Consider the following 15,674-nt stretch of genomic DNA (forward strand, 5'->3'; position numbering starts at 1 on the left):
GCATCCTATGTTCATGAGTTGGAAAACTTAATATTGTTAAAATGTTCATACTACCCAAAGAGATCTATGGATTCAATGCAATCCCTATCAAAATCCCAATGACATTTTTTACACAAATAAAAAATACAATCCTAAATTCATATGGAACCACAAAAAGAACCCAAAAAGCCAAAGCAATCTTGAGAAACAACAAAGCTGGAGGCATCACATTTCCTGATTTCAATATATATTACAAAGCTATAGTAATAAAAACAATATGCACTGGCATAAAATCAGACATATAGACCAATGGAACAGAATAGATATCGTAGAAATAAAACCATGCATATACAACCAATTGATCTTCAATAAGGATGCCAAGAATACACAATGAGAACATGATAATCTCTTCAAGAAGAAGTGTTGGGAAAACTAGATATACACATGCAAAATAATGAAATTGGTCATTTCTTTATTTTATGTCATACACAAAAATCAACTATAAATGAATTAAATATTTAAACATAAGACCTAAAACTGTAAAATGCCTATGAGAAAAGCTTTATGATATTTGTCTTGGCATTTATTTCTTGGATATGAGACAAAAAGCAGAAGCAACAACAAAAACCAAGATAGACAAGTGGGACTACATCAAACTAAAAAGCTTCTACACAGCAAAGGAAACAGTCCACAGAGTGAAATGACAAACTATGGAATGAGAGAAAATATTTCTAAATCTGATAAGGGTTTAATATCCAAAATACATAACAAACTCTTACAAATAAAAAGCAAACAAAACAAAGCAAAAGAACCAAATAACCCAATTAAAAAATAGGCAAAAGAGTTGAATAGACATTTCTCCACAGAGGACATACATATGGCCAATAAATATATGAAATGATGCTCAATATCCTTAGTTATCAGGAAATGCATATCAAAACCACAGTAAGAAGTAACATCACATCTGTTAGAATGGCTATTATTAAAAAATAAAAACACAACAAATGTTGGCAAGTCTTGTACATTGCTGGTGGGAATGTATATTGGTATGGCCATTATGGAAAAAGTATGGAAGTTCCTTTAAAAACTAAAAATAGAGCTACCATATGATGCAGCAACCCCACTTCTGGGTATATATCCAAAAGAATTGAAATAAGGATCTGAAAGAGATACCTGCACTCCCATGTTCACTGAAACATTATTCATAGTAGCCAAGAGATGGAAACAAGCTAAATTTATACCCACAAATGAACGGATAAAGAAAATGTGGTATATGCATACAAAAGAATACTATTCAACCTTGAATATAAAGGACATCCTGCCACTTGGATTAATATGGATGAAGCTGGAGGACATTATGCTAAAAGGAATAAACTAGTCACAGAAGGATAAATTTTGCATGATTCCACTTAAAGGCAGTATCTAAAATACTCAAACTCAGTGGGAGGTGGAATAAGATGGCCAAATAGAAGATTCCAGTAATCATCCTCCCTGTGGGAACACCAAATTGAACAACTATCCACACAAAAAGCTACCTTCATTAGAACAAAAAAATCAGGTAAGGGATCACAGTACTAGATTTAACTTCATATCACTGAAAGAGGCACTGAAGAAGGTAGGAAAAACAGTCTTCAATTCCCAATGCCACCACTCCTCCATGCCAGGGCAGTGGCAGAGTGGTGCAAAGAGAGAACTTGTGTGCTTGGGGGAGGCAGAGTGCAAGGACTGTGAGACTTTGCATTAGAACTCAGTGCTCTCCTGCCACAGTGAAAAGCGACATGGGGCAGAACTCAGCTGGTGCCCACAGAGGGAATATTTAGACCAGCTCTAGCCAGAAGGCCATCCCAGTACTTGGAACCTGGGTTCCAGAAAGCCTTGCCACTGTGGGCTAAAGTGCTCTGGGGATCTAAATAAACTTGAAAGGCAGTCTAGGTCATAAGGACTGCAATTCCTATGCAAGTACTCCTGCTGTGCTGGGCTCAGAGTTAGTGGACTTGGGGGACATGCAACCTAATGAGACACTAGCTGGGGCAGCCAAGGGAGTGCTTGCACCACCACTCCCTCAACTCCAGGCACACAGCTCACAGCTCTGAAAGAAACTCCTTTCTTCTGCTTGAAGAGAGGAGAGGAAGAGTAAAGAAGACGTTGTCTTGCAACTTGGATACCAGCTCACCCACCTTAGGAGAGAGCACTGAGCCAAGTTGTGAGGCCCCATTACAAGCCCTGGCTCCCAGACAAAAATCTAGACACAACCTGGGCCAGAACAGAACCCACAAGCTTAAAGGGAAGAACCCAGTCCTGGCAAGATGAATCATCTGCTGAATAAACAGCGCTTGGGTCCTGAATGGTGCCCAGGCAACACTCAGTGTGGGTTTTGGGTGATACTCAGAGATGTGCTGGCTTAAGGTGGCGAGTGCTGGCTTAATCCAGCACATTCCCAGCTGGTGTGGCTATGGAGAGAGATTTGTTTTGTTTGAGAAAAGAAGAGGAATGTGTAAAGGGGACTTTGCCTCACAGCATGGCTACCAGTTCAGCCACAGTGAACAAGAGCACCAAGTAAGCTCTTGGGATCCCTGAATCCAGGCCTTGGCTCTTGGATGTCATTTCTAGACTTATATTGGGCTAGAGAAAAGCCCACTATCCTGTAGGGAGAGTCCCAGGCCTGGCAGCATTCACCACAACAGGCTGAATAGCCCTTGGGCCTTGAGCGAACATTGGTGGTGTCTAGGCAGTACTCGCCATGGCTCTGGGATGTTGGTGGCCACAGGAAGCAACTCCTTTGCCTGTGAAAAGAAAAGGGAAAAGTGTATATGACTTTGACTTGTGGCTTGGGTCCCAGCTCAGCCACACTAGAATAGAGCACCAGGTACATTTCTAAGGTTTCTAACTCCAGGGCCTGGCTCCTGGATGACATCTCTGGACCTGCCTGTGGACAGGGGAAACTTGCCATCCTGAAGGGAAAAACACAAACCTGGCTGGCTTCACAACATCCAGATTGTAGAGCCGTAGGGCCTTGAGTAAATATAGGCAGTAATCAGGTAGTGGTTACCGCAGGCCTTAAGTGAGACCCCCTTAACCTATTGGCTTTAGGTTTGATCCAGCACAGTGTCAGTGGTGGTGGCCACAGGGTTGCTTGTGTCAGCCTTCCCTCAGCTCCAGGCAGCTCAGCACAGAGAGACAGATTCCATTTATTTGGGAGAAAGTAAGGGAAGAGAAAAAGAGTCTCTGCTGGTAATCCAGAGAATTCTTCCAGATCTTAACCAAGACAACCAAGTCAGTAGAACCACAGTGTTAGTGGTCTTGGGGTGTCTCCTAATGAAGATATGGCTGCAGTGAACAAAAACTTAGAACACTGAAGTCCCTTCAAATACCCGGAAAGCCTTCCAAGAAGAAAGGCTCCAAACAAGCCCAGACTCTGAAGATTACAAGAAATACTTAACTCTTCAGTGACCACACACCAATGAACATTCACAAACATCCACCTAGGAAAACATGACCTCACCAAACAAACTAAATAAGGCACGAGTGACCAATTCCTGAGTGACAGAGGTATGTGACCTTTCAGACAGATAATTCAAAATAGCTGTGTTGAGGAAACCCAAAGAAATTGAAGATAACACAAAGAAGGAATTTGGAATCCTATCAGATAAATTTAACAAAGAGGTTGAAATAATTAAAAAGAACGAAGCAGAAGCTCTGGAATCCAAAAATGTGATGGACATACAGAAGAATGCATCAGTCTCTTAACTGCATAATTGATCAAACAGAGAAAAGAATTATTGAGCTTTGAGATAGATTATTTGAAAATACACGGTGAGAAGAGACAAAAACAAAAAGAATAAAATGAATAAAACATGCATACAAGACCTAGAAAATAGCCTCAATAAGGGCAAATCTAAGAATTATTGGTCTTAAAGAGGAGGCAGAAAGATAGAGATCAGGATAGACAGCTTGTTCAAAGGGATAATAACAGAGAATGTCCCAAACCTAGAGAAAGATGGCAATATTCAAGTACGAGGAGGTTATAAAACACCAAGCAAATGTAACCTAAATGAGACTACCTTAAGATATCTAATAATCAAATTTCCAAAGGTCACAGATAAAGAAAGGATACTAAACACAGCAAGATAAAAGAAATGAACATGCAAAAACACTCCAATACATCTGTCAGAAGACTTTTCAGTGGAAACTTTACAGGCCAGGAGAGAGTGGCATGACATATTTAAAGTGCTGAAGGAAAAAAAAAACTTTTACCCTGGAATAGCATACCCAGTAATATTATACTTTGAACATGAAAGAAAAATAAAGACTTTCCAGACCAACAAAAGCTGAGGGATTTCAGCAATGCCAGGTCTGTCCTACAAGAAATGCTAAAAGGAGTTCATCAGTCTGAAAGAAAAGAGTGTTAATGAGTAATAAGAAATCACCTGAAGGTACAAAATTCACTGGTAGTGGTAAATACACAGAAAAGCACAGAATATCATAGCACTGTAATTATGAATGTGTAAACTACTCATATCTTAAATAGAAAGACTAAAAGATAAATTGATCAAAAATAATAACTACAACTTTTCAACACATAAGACAGTACATTAGGACATAAATAGAAATGACAAAAAGTTAAAATGGGGACACAAAGCTAAAGTGTAGTTTTCATTAGTTTTCTTTTTTGCTTATTAGTTTGTTTATGCAATTAGTATTAGGCTGCCTTCAGTTTAAAGTAATGGATTACAAGATATTCTTTGTAAGCCTCATGTTAACCTCAAATCAAAAAACAACTACAGATTTACAAAAAATAAAAAGCAAGAAACTAAATCATGCTACCACAGGCAATCACTTCCACTACAAGGAATACAGGAAGGGAGGAAAGAAGGACGAGAAGACCACAAAACAACCAGAAAACAAAAAACAAAATGGCAGGAGTAAATCCTTACATATCAATAATGACACTGAATGTAAATGGACTTAACTCTCTAATCAAAAGACATAGAATGGCTGAATGGTTTTAAAAAAAACAATAACAAGACCCAACAATCTGCTGCTTATAAGAATCAAACTGCACCCATAAAGACACACATAGACTGAAAATAAAGGGATGAAAAAATATGTTCCATGCAAATAGAAACCGAAAAAGAGCAAGAGTAAGTATACTTATTTGAGACAAAATAGATTTTAAGACAAAAACTATAAAAAGAAACAAAGAACGTTTCTTAATGATAAAAGTGTCAATTCAGAAAGAGGTTATAACAATTATATGTGCAACCAACACTACAGCACCCAGATACATAAAGCAAATATTATTATTGCTAAGAGAGAGATACACCCCAATAAAATAATAGATGGAGACCTCCCATTTTAGCATGAGACAGATCATCCGTACAAAAAATCAACAAAGAAACATTGTACTTAATCTGCACTATAGACCAAATGAACCTAATAGATATTTACAGAACACTTCATCCAAAAGCTACAGAAGACACATTCTTCTCCTTAGCACATGAATTATTCTCCAAGATAGGACAATATAAGTCTTAAGAAATTCAAAAAAAATTATATCAAGTATCTTTTCTGACCACAATAGAATAAAACTAGAAATTAATTACAAAAAGAATTTTGGAAACTATACAAACACACAGAAATGAAACAACATGCTTCTGAATGATCAGTGGGGCAACAAAGAAATGAAGAAGGAAACTGAAAAATTTATTGAAACAAATGAAAATGGAAACACGATATACCAAAATCTGTGAGATATAGCCAAAGCAGTACTAAAAGGAAATTGTATAGCTATAAGCACCTACATCAAAAAAGTAGAAAAACTTTAAATAAACAACCTAATGATGCATCTTAAAGAACTACTAAAGCAAAAACAAACCAAACCTGAAAATAGTAGAAAAAATAATAATAAAGATCAGAGCAGAAATAAGTGAAATTTAAACAAAAATGCAATAAAAAGATTGATGAAATAAAAAGTTGGTTTTTAAAACAGATTTTAAAAATAGACCAACTTTTAACCAGACTAATCAAGATAAAAAGAGAGAAGACACAAGTAAATAAAATTATAGAGATGAAAAAGAAGACATCACTACTAATTCCACAGAAATTAAAATAATCATTAGAGACTACTATGGGCAACCATATACCAATAAACTGGAAAACCTAGAAGAAATTGATAAATTCCTACACATGTACAACCTACGAAGATTGAACCATGAAGAAATTCAAAAGCTGAACAAACCAATAACAAGTAACGAGACTCAAGCTGTAATAAAGTCTCCAGTAACAAAAATCCTGGGACCCTATGGCTTCACTGCTGAACTTTACCAAACATTTAAAGAATTAATACCAATCCTATTCAAGCTATTCTGAAAAATAGAGGAAGAGGAGGGAATGAATACTTCTGAACTCATTCTATGAAACCAGTATTACCATGATGCAAAAACCAAAGACATATCAAAAAAGTAAGGGTACAAGTTAATAAGTTAATATTCCTAATGAAAATTGATGCAAAAATCCTCAAAATTCTAGTAAACTGAATTCAACAACACATTAAAAATATTATTCTTCATGAACCAAGTGAGGTTATCCCAGAATGTAATTATGGTTCAACATATAAAAATCAATCGATGTGATACATCATACTAACAGAATGTAGGACAAAAAACATATGATCATTTCAATTGATGCTGAACAGGCATTTGATAAAGTTCAACAATCCTTCATGATAAAAACCCTCAAAAAACTGGTAATAGAAGGAATGTGCCACAACACAGTAAAAGTCACACATGACAGACTCACAGCTAGTATCATAATGAATGGGGAAATACTGAAAGCCTTTCCTTTAAGATATGGAACATGACAAGGATGCCCACTTTCATGAGTATCATTCAACATAGTACTGGAAGTCCTACTTAGACCAATCAGACAAAATAAATAAAGGGCATCTGAATTTAAAAGGAAGAAGTCAAATTATCCTTGTTTGCAGATGCTATGATCTTATATTTGGAAAACTATAAGAACTGGTAAACAAATTCAGTAACATTACGGGATACGAAATCAGTAGCATTTCTATAAGCCAACAGTGAACAATCTGAAAAAGAAATTTTTTAAAATCCCGTTTAAAATATCCACACATAAAATTAAGTACCTAGGAATTAATGAACTAAATTAAAGGTCTCTATAATTAAAACTATAAAACACTGATGAAATAGATTGAATAGGACAAAACAATGAAAAGATAATCCATGCTTGTTAGGATTGCTACAAGCAGCAATCCTAAAATTTATACAGAACCACAAAAGATGCAGAATAGCTAAAGCCATCTTAAGCAAAAAGAACAAAACTGGAGGAATCACATTACCTGACTTCAAATTATACTACAGAGCTACAGTAAACAAAGCAGCATGGTCTTGGCATTAAAATAGACACATAAATTAATGGAACAGAATAGAGAACCAATTCTGAATGAATATCCAGAAACAAATCCACACACCTACACTGAATTCATTTTCAACAAAGGTGCCAAGAACATACACTGGAGTAAAGACAGTCTCTTCAATAAATGGTGCTGGGAAAACTGGATTTGTATATGCAGAGAATGAAACTAGATCCCTATTCCTCACCATATACAAAAAGCAAATCCAAATAGATTAACTACTCAAATATAAGACTTCAAGCTAATAAACTACTAATAGAAAACATTGGGGGAAACTCTCCAGTACATTTATCTGGGCAAAGATTTCTTAAGTAATACCCCAGAAGCACAGGACCAAAGAAAAAATGGACAAATAGGATCATATCAAGTTAAACAGCTTATGCACAGCAAAGGAAATAATCAACAAAGTGTACAGACAATTCACAAAATGGGAGAATATATTTGCAAACTACCCATCTGACAAGGGATTAATAACCAGAATATATACAGAGCTCAAACAATAGGAAAAAATCTAGTAATTCAATTTAAAAATGGGTCAAATATCTGAGTAGACATTTCTCAATAGAAGGCATACAAATTGCAAACAGGTGTATAAAAACATGCTCAACATAATTGATAATCAGAGAAATGCAAATCAAAACTATAGTGAGGTATTATCTCACCCCAGAAAAAATGGATTTTATCCAAAAGACAGGCAATAACAAATGCTGGTGAGTATGTGGAGGAAACAGAACTCTTGTACACTGTTGGTGGGAATGTAAATTAGTACAACCACTATAAAGAACACTTTGGAGGTTCCTCAAAAAACTAAAAGTAGAGCTACCATATAATCTAGCAATCTCACTGCTATATATATACCCCAAAGAAAGGAATTCAGTATATTGAAGAGGTATCTGCATTCCCATGTTTGCTGCAGTACTGCTCACAATAGCCAAGATTTGGAAGCAACCTAAGTGTCCATCAACAAATGAATAGATAAAGAAAATGTGGTACATATACACAATGGAGTACTACTCAGCCATAGAAAAGAATGGCATCCTGTCATTTGCAACAACATGGATGGAACTGGAGGTCATTATGTTAAGTGAAATAAGCCAGGCACAGAAACAAACTTTCCATGCTCTCACTTATTTGTTGGAGCTAAAAATTAAAACAATTGAACTCATGAAAATAGAGACCAGAATGATGGTTACTAGAGTCTGGGACAGGTAGTGGGAGGTTGGGGGAAATGGGGATAGTGAATGGGTACAAAAAATACAGTTCAATAGAATGAAAAAGAGCTGGTGTCTGGTAGCACAGCAGTGTGACTACAGTCAACAATAACTTATTGCACATTTAGAAATAACTAAAAGAATATAATTGGAGTGTCACACAAAGAAATGATAAATGCTTGAGATGAGAGATACTCCATTTTCCCTGAGATGTGTTTATTACACATTGTATGCCTGTATTAAACTATCTCCTGTATCCCACAAATATATACATCTACTATGTACCCATAAATATTAAATACAAAAAAATACAATAAAATTGTCAAACTCATAGAATGAAAGAGTAAAGTGGTGATTCTTAGGGGCTGGGGGACTGGGAAATGTGCAGTTGTTTTTAATTTGTATAAAGTTTCAGTACTCAAGATGATTAATATCTACAAATATGCTGTACAATATTGTGCCTTTAGTTAACAATACTGCATTGTACAACTAAATATTTGTTGAAAGGGTTGATCTCATGTTAAGTGTTCTTACCACGATTAATAAAATAAAATAAAATGAAATAAAATAAAATAAAATAAGCTGAGTGAACCCTAAAGAGGATAAACACAAAAAAGTCCAAGCCCAGACATATTATATTCAAACTGCTTATAACTAAATACAGAGAAAAATTTGAAACTGCAATTTTAAAAATGCCATTTACAATAGCTCCTAAAACTGAAAATGTTTGGTACAAACCTAACAAAGCATGCACAGAATGTATATACTGAAAATGACAAAACACTGATGAAACATATCCAAGAAGACCTAAACAAATGGACATACTGTGTTCATGAATAGAAGAATCATTATAGTAATGATGTCAATTCTCCCTCAAAGAGATCTATAGATTAACACAATATCAACCAAAATCCCAGCAGAAATTTGTATATAGACATGCTAATATTCAAATTTACATGTAAAGACACAAGAACTAGAATAGCTCATTACATTTTGACAAAAACAAAGAGGAATCACACTACTTAATTTTAGAAGTTACTATAAAGCTAAAGTAATCAAGTCAGAGCAGTGTTTGTAAAGGGATAGATACACAAGTCCACAAGTCAATGGAACCTAAACAATAGGACAGATATGCACCTACATGAATATGGCCATTTGATATTTTTACAAAGATACACAGGCAATTCAGTGGAGAAAAGGTTGTCTTTTGAACAAATATTGCTGGAACCTTTGAAAATGAACCTTAACCTGAATTTCACACCTTATATAAAGACCAACTCAAAATAATTAATATATGTAAATGCAAAAACTAAAATGTTAAACTTTTAGGGGAAAAAAAACCTTAAAACTGACACCAAAGCACAACACATGCAAGAAAAAAAAAATGACAAATTTGACTTCATCAAATTTGAAAACATTTTTTCTGCCCAAGGCACTGTAAAGTGAATGAAAAGACCCAGTAATGATGTACAGAAAATATTTTCAAATCACGTATCTGATAAAGGACTAGTATCCAGAAAATGTATTTTTTTTAAACTCTGAAAACTCAATAGTAAGGAAACAACCACATTAAAAGATGGGCAAAGAACTTAAATGGACGCTTCATCAGAGAAGTTACGGCAAATAAGGACACAAACAGGTGTTAATTATTAGCTATTAGACAAATTATTAGCTGTCAGACAATGAGATATCACTATACAACTATCTGATCAGCTGAAATAAAGAATAATGACAATACCAAATGTTGTCAATGATAAAATTATTACAGGGTTCAGGTGACGACGGCCTGAACTCCTTAATAAACTTTTTCATCTCATATTTCACCCACTGATGATCCTTGCCTGGATCTGTTACATCATTGGAGGTTGTAAAATAGTGATTTTCTACATTTACTTCTGGATTTTTTCCTACATTTACTAACTGTATTTCTTGCAAAAAGAACTTTCTCTTATCAAACTAGGGCTTTCTTGTTGTTCTGAAAGTTTGTACAAAAAAAGCAGAATAAGATACTGATTTTTTTTTTCTTTTGACTGCTAATTGTCAGAATAAGGAGTCAATGTTCTATTTACCTTAAATGGTATTCAATGAGGTTTCATTCTTTGGGAGTAGGGGGATCCCTCTCTATCGGTATCATTAATCAACTCATGAATTTTTATATAGTCAATGTGTTTTCATCATTCAAAGTTACTATTATTGTTTGAAGCTCCTATGTACTTTTTTTTTTTTTTGTATTTTTAATAGAGACGGGGTTTCACCGTGTTAGCCAGGATGGTCTCGATCTCCTGACCTCGTGATCCGCCCGCCTCGGCCTCCCAAAGTGCTGGGATTACAGGCGTGAGCCACCGCACCTGGCCTCCTGTGTACTTTTGACATTAGACTTTGATGGTACCCCTGCTCTCTGACACAATATGTCACAATCTCATCTTATTTGTTTTTTTTTATCTCAAACTTGGAATTAGCTATTCCCCCCAAGGAGTCCTGGTACCTTTTACGTGGGATAGTATTTACGGACTTTTTGAGTGTCATTTTGTATTTTTTATTAGACTATTTTAAAGGAAAAATTGTACTCCCAATGTTCATTTAAATTATGGTAGTTTTATTATAATGTTACTTAAATATGAACAACAGTAGAGCCATATATATATGAATGCTTTATTTGGGTACACATGGACATAAAGATGGATACAGACACTGAGGACTACTGGAGAGGAGAGAGAAGGAGGGCGGGCAAGTGCTAAAAAACTACCTGTTGGGTACTATGTTCACTACCTGAGTGATGGGATCATTCATACACCAAACTTCAGCATCACTCAATATACCCAGTTAACAAGCCTCCACATGTATCTCCTGAATGTAAAACAAAAGTTGAAATTTTAAAATAAAATAGAAAAAAATGAATGCTTTGGGCTTATGATGCCTATATAATTATAAATACAATACTATTTTCCAAAATAGCATAAACAGCCAGCTCTAACAGTTTTTTTTCCCATTTATTAGTCAGTTTCTTCCTTTAAATAAGTATTGGCCAAATATCTAAAGGACATATGTTGAATGGTCTCCCCATTGTTCCCTAGCCAGGATTACCAAAACTCTCTTTTTGTACTTGTCTGGGTGTTATCCTAGACTTCTAGTGGAAACTGATAGCAATGTTTAAGCAGGGGAGTAAGATAATCAGTTTTGTTTGTTTTGTTATGCAAGTGAATTCAGTGATGATGTAGACTCTACACTGTAAAAGATATCAAGTGGAGCAGAGAAATAAGTCAGGAGACTATTACTACTGTCCCATTGGTGAGGGCCTCAACTGAAGTGAAAATGGAATGGGGAGAATCGATTTGATATATTTTTCTGATTTTGTCATTTTTGATTTGGGAATTTGGTGAGTAAATGGACACAGAGGAACTAGTTAGCAAGGGGTTGCAATAATCCAGTTAAGAAGGCATGTGAACCTGAACAAGGTAATGATGTTAGGTAAAAGGGGGATTAATTCCACGGATATTAAAGAGGAAGAATTCTCAGGATATTTTCATTGACTAGATGTTTGGAGAAAGAGGGAAGAGCAGGATGGCCTTCAGGTTTTAAAAATTATCTCCCACAGTGTACCATTCACAAAGGTGATTGATGTAAAAACCCCACATCTTTCTCAGCTTTCTTCTTTGAGTGTCCTGTTGGAATTGCCATGGGACAAGACCATAAGTAGTATTTGCCAGACTATCCAACATAGAAAAATGTCATGTATGAGGACACACTCATAAAAATATCTTTCTTCTTCTAGAATGGAAAATAAAAGCTTAAGTAAATGAAACCTACAGAGGTGGGCAAACTATGGCCCACAAGCCAAATCTGGACTGCTGCCTGTTATTCTATGGCCTATGACTAAGAGTGATTTTTACATTTTTAATTGTTGAAAAAATTCAAAGAAGAATAATTTTTCACTGCGCATTAAGATGAAATAAAATTCAAATGTCAGCGTTCATAAATAAAGTTCTACTGGAACACAGCCATGCTCACTTATCTCTCCCTGGAACTCAAAAGTAAGGAAAACAAATATTTTACCATCATTACACATGCACATACACACACACATCACATGCGCGCACACGAGCATGCTCCTTCTCTGTGCCCACTGTGTACGGGCTTTGCAGAAATTGCATTTCTTGCAGAGAAACTTTGAACCTCACAATGGAAGGTAATTTACCAATCTCTTATCTATCTATTTATCATACTTCACGTTTTAGTAATAACTGAATTTCACCCTTTTCAAGCTTGGAAATTATATCTCCTCATTCTGCTGAACGTGTCTATGGCCACTTTGGGGCTACAATGGCAGAGCAGAGTAGTTGTGACAGAGACGCTATAGCCCTCAAAAAATATTTTGCTTACTACTATTTATTTACAAAAATAAAATATTTACTATCCGGCCCTTCATAGGGAAAGTTTGCCGACTCCTGGTCTACTATGAGCCAGGTACTGTGCTAGGACTTTCACATCTTCTATAATTCTATCAAAAACTTTAGTGGTATATTAGGTTATAGAGACCTGAAGAATGTATCTAGAATCTAGAATAATAACATGCTTTATTTGTAAATATTCAAATGATTTGCAAAGATAAAGAGTTACTTTCTTTAGGATCCTATCCTTTCCCTGCTTAAACACTGTTATTGATTCCAAATGCTTATAGAATTAAAGCTAAAATAGGCAAAACATAAGACTCTTTGCTTACGCAATCTAGTCCCCACCTACCTTTCATCACATCTCATCACTCTTTTCCCCATCCCTCACCCAATGAATTTCTCACTGTCCTCCCACTTTTTGCAGACAGAAGCTGAAAGTGACACATTCATGAGATATTTAGTGTCCACTTCATTGAGGTCCCTTGTTCACCTTTTCCTTTCTATACCTTTCTTCACTCTCCTTCACTTTCTTCATCGAATTGTCTACCATTACAAAATAGAAAAGAAATGAAGGGAGGGAGGAAGGGAAACTGCAACACACACAGGTTTTATTGGGGTGAGGCATACCTCTTATTACTCTGGTCAGTCTAATTTGTCAAATCCTCGAGGGTAGGGCCGATACATTTTTTTTTTAACGTCGTCCAACATCTATTAGAGGTTCAGTCATTGATTATCCTCCTCCCTTTCTTCGTTTCCCTTGGGAAACCTGGAAAACAGAAAATCTTCCCACAGAAACTCCTCAGGGGCGCGCCGAGATCTGGGCTTGCGCACTTGGACTTGGCCGGCGCTCAGCCCCCGCCTCAAGCCGGCGGGGTCTCGCACTAACCTAGCGCGGGCGCCTCGATCTCCCGCGCGCGCGCGTGCGCGAGACCCCCCTTTGGCCCCCTACCCTGCAGCAAGGGTAGCGTGACGTAATGCAACCTCAGCATGTCAGCAGCAATATAAAGGAGAATGAGGCGGCGCGCCTCCCAGACGCAGAGTAGATTGTGATTGGCTCGGGCTGCGGAACCTCGGAAACCCGAATGTGAGGACCTTAAGGGATCCACAGCTGCCGCCCCCCGCAGCCATCCAGAGCGCGGTCACAGTCCGACTGGCGGCACGGAGGCGGCGGCGGCGGCGGCGGCGGCAGCGGCGGCGGCAGCGGCGGCGGCAGCTGTAGCTGCAGCAGCAGGTAAGGAGACTCCTGACGAGAAACTAGAGGGACGTGGATCCACCGCGTTCAGTGTTTCTTGTCTGAGGGGAGGAGAGGCTCACACCCAGCGTGTAGCGTAGGGCGAAGGGAACAATGGAAGTGGCGTCCAGTCCCTGAGCTTTCCTCCCGCCTCGGGCGGAGTTTTCCTCTTCAGCCGCAGCCGGGGGCTGGAGGAATTGAGGGAAGTAAGGGTTTTCCCCCTTAGCCAACCTCCTCTTTCCCTAGGCCAGAGCCCCAGGGAGCTAGAGCCGTCGTTGAGACCGTCGGTGGTTTAGGGTGACGGTAAAATGGCGGAAAACAAAACGGTGAAGTGAAGAATGCAGCGTCCCCCTGGCAGTTTCTCTCAGCTCTCCCTCCACCCCATATTCTTTTCACTGGCGCCCCAGTCGCCTCGCCCCCGCCCCCTGACCGAGCTAATAGTAACCTTTGGAATGCGCGAGGGATGGCGGCGTGTGCGAGGAAGTGGCACCGAATCGGCATTTTAGGGGATTGGGAGCCGTCAGAGCCTGGGAGTTGGGGGGAGGGGGGGGGCGTGTGCGACAACTGTCGCCTACACTAAAACACCACCATTTTGGTTCCCAACCGTCTCCCACGTAGCGGGGCAGAGGAAGCTGGAGGAGGCTGAGGGGCTGGGCAGCACGGCGTGGGTAGCAGCGGTGGCGACCGCTGCACCAAGTGAGAGGAGGGAGGAGGGGAAAGGGTATTCTTGTCTCATCGGTCTCTTCCTTTCTGCTGCGAAGGTTCTCTTGTTAGGTTTAAGATCTAGTCAGATGGGTAATACCTCAGAGGGCACGTGTGTGCATTCTGCTCGAAATGATTGAAACTTGGCATGGTCGTGGGAAAAGGAGACTTATGCGGGAAGAGGGCTGCGTCCAAAGCTGCAATACTGCTACTTGCCAGGGCTCCTTTGTCTCCCATCTCTGCAAATACTACTTTCGCATTCTCTTGTTCTGCCGCCTTACCATTTCTCATCTATCCGTCACCCTATTGACATCACTAAGAAGCTAGGTCCTGAATGAGCTATGTTAGAAGAGACAGATTTTCTTTTTGTGATTTCTACTCCCCATGCATTAATGGAAAGATGTTTACTTGAGACGTACTTGGTGGGTTATCTCCATTCAATAAGGATGTGAGATACACTTAGAGAAGACCAAGAAGCCTAGCTATCTCTAATGGTTATTAAATACTTAACACACTGCTGTTTTCATACCTCATTTATTATTGATTTTATTGAAACTTCCTATGTGGGGAAAGATACTCCGGTTTATTTATTTGGTATTCACACAGTGTAATACTTTTATAATAGTTGCACTATGTGTTGTAATTTTTACACTTCATTGAGTGCTAGTGCAGACTTTTCAGTATGGATTTGGCAAGGATAAAGCTTGCCCTTGATTCTCTTTCAC

General features: G+C 38.0%; 2 protein-coding genes across 27 annotated transcripts in view; one reads left to right on the forward strand and one right to left on the reverse strand.

Moving 5' to 3' along the window:
- Nucleotides 1-13,835, reverse strand: part of SATL1 (spermidine/spermine N1-acetyl transferase like 1) — a 151,496-nt gene extending 137,661 nt beyond the window's left edge. For both annotated transcript variants that reach the window (NM_001367857.2, NM_001367858.2), the window contains exon 1: nt 13,644-13,835. The gene's annotated coding sequence lies outside the window, so the exon portion shown is untranslated. The remainder of the gene's footprint in view (nt 1-13,643) is intronic.
- Nucleotides 14,047-15,674, forward strand: part of ZNF711 (zinc finger protein 711) — a 29,367-nt gene continuing 27,739 nt past the window's right edge. For 22 of the 25 annotated variants that reach the window (XM_047442469.1, XM_047442465.1, XM_047442467.1 and 19 more), the window contains exon 1: nt 14,047-14,247. The gene's annotated coding sequence lies outside the window, so the exon portion shown is untranslated. Of the gene's footprint in view, nt 14,248-14,825; nt 14,944-15,674 lie in introns of those variants that run through there. The other 3 variants (XM_047442464.1, XM_047442468.1, XM_047442470.1) reach the window with 3 other exon arrangements.

Source organism: Homo sapiens, chromosome X (genome assembly GCF_000001405.40).
Source record: "Homo sapiens chromosome X, GRCh38.p14 Primary Assembly".
NCBI lineage: Eukaryota > Metazoa > Chordata > Mammalia > Primates > Hominidae > Homo > Homo sapiens.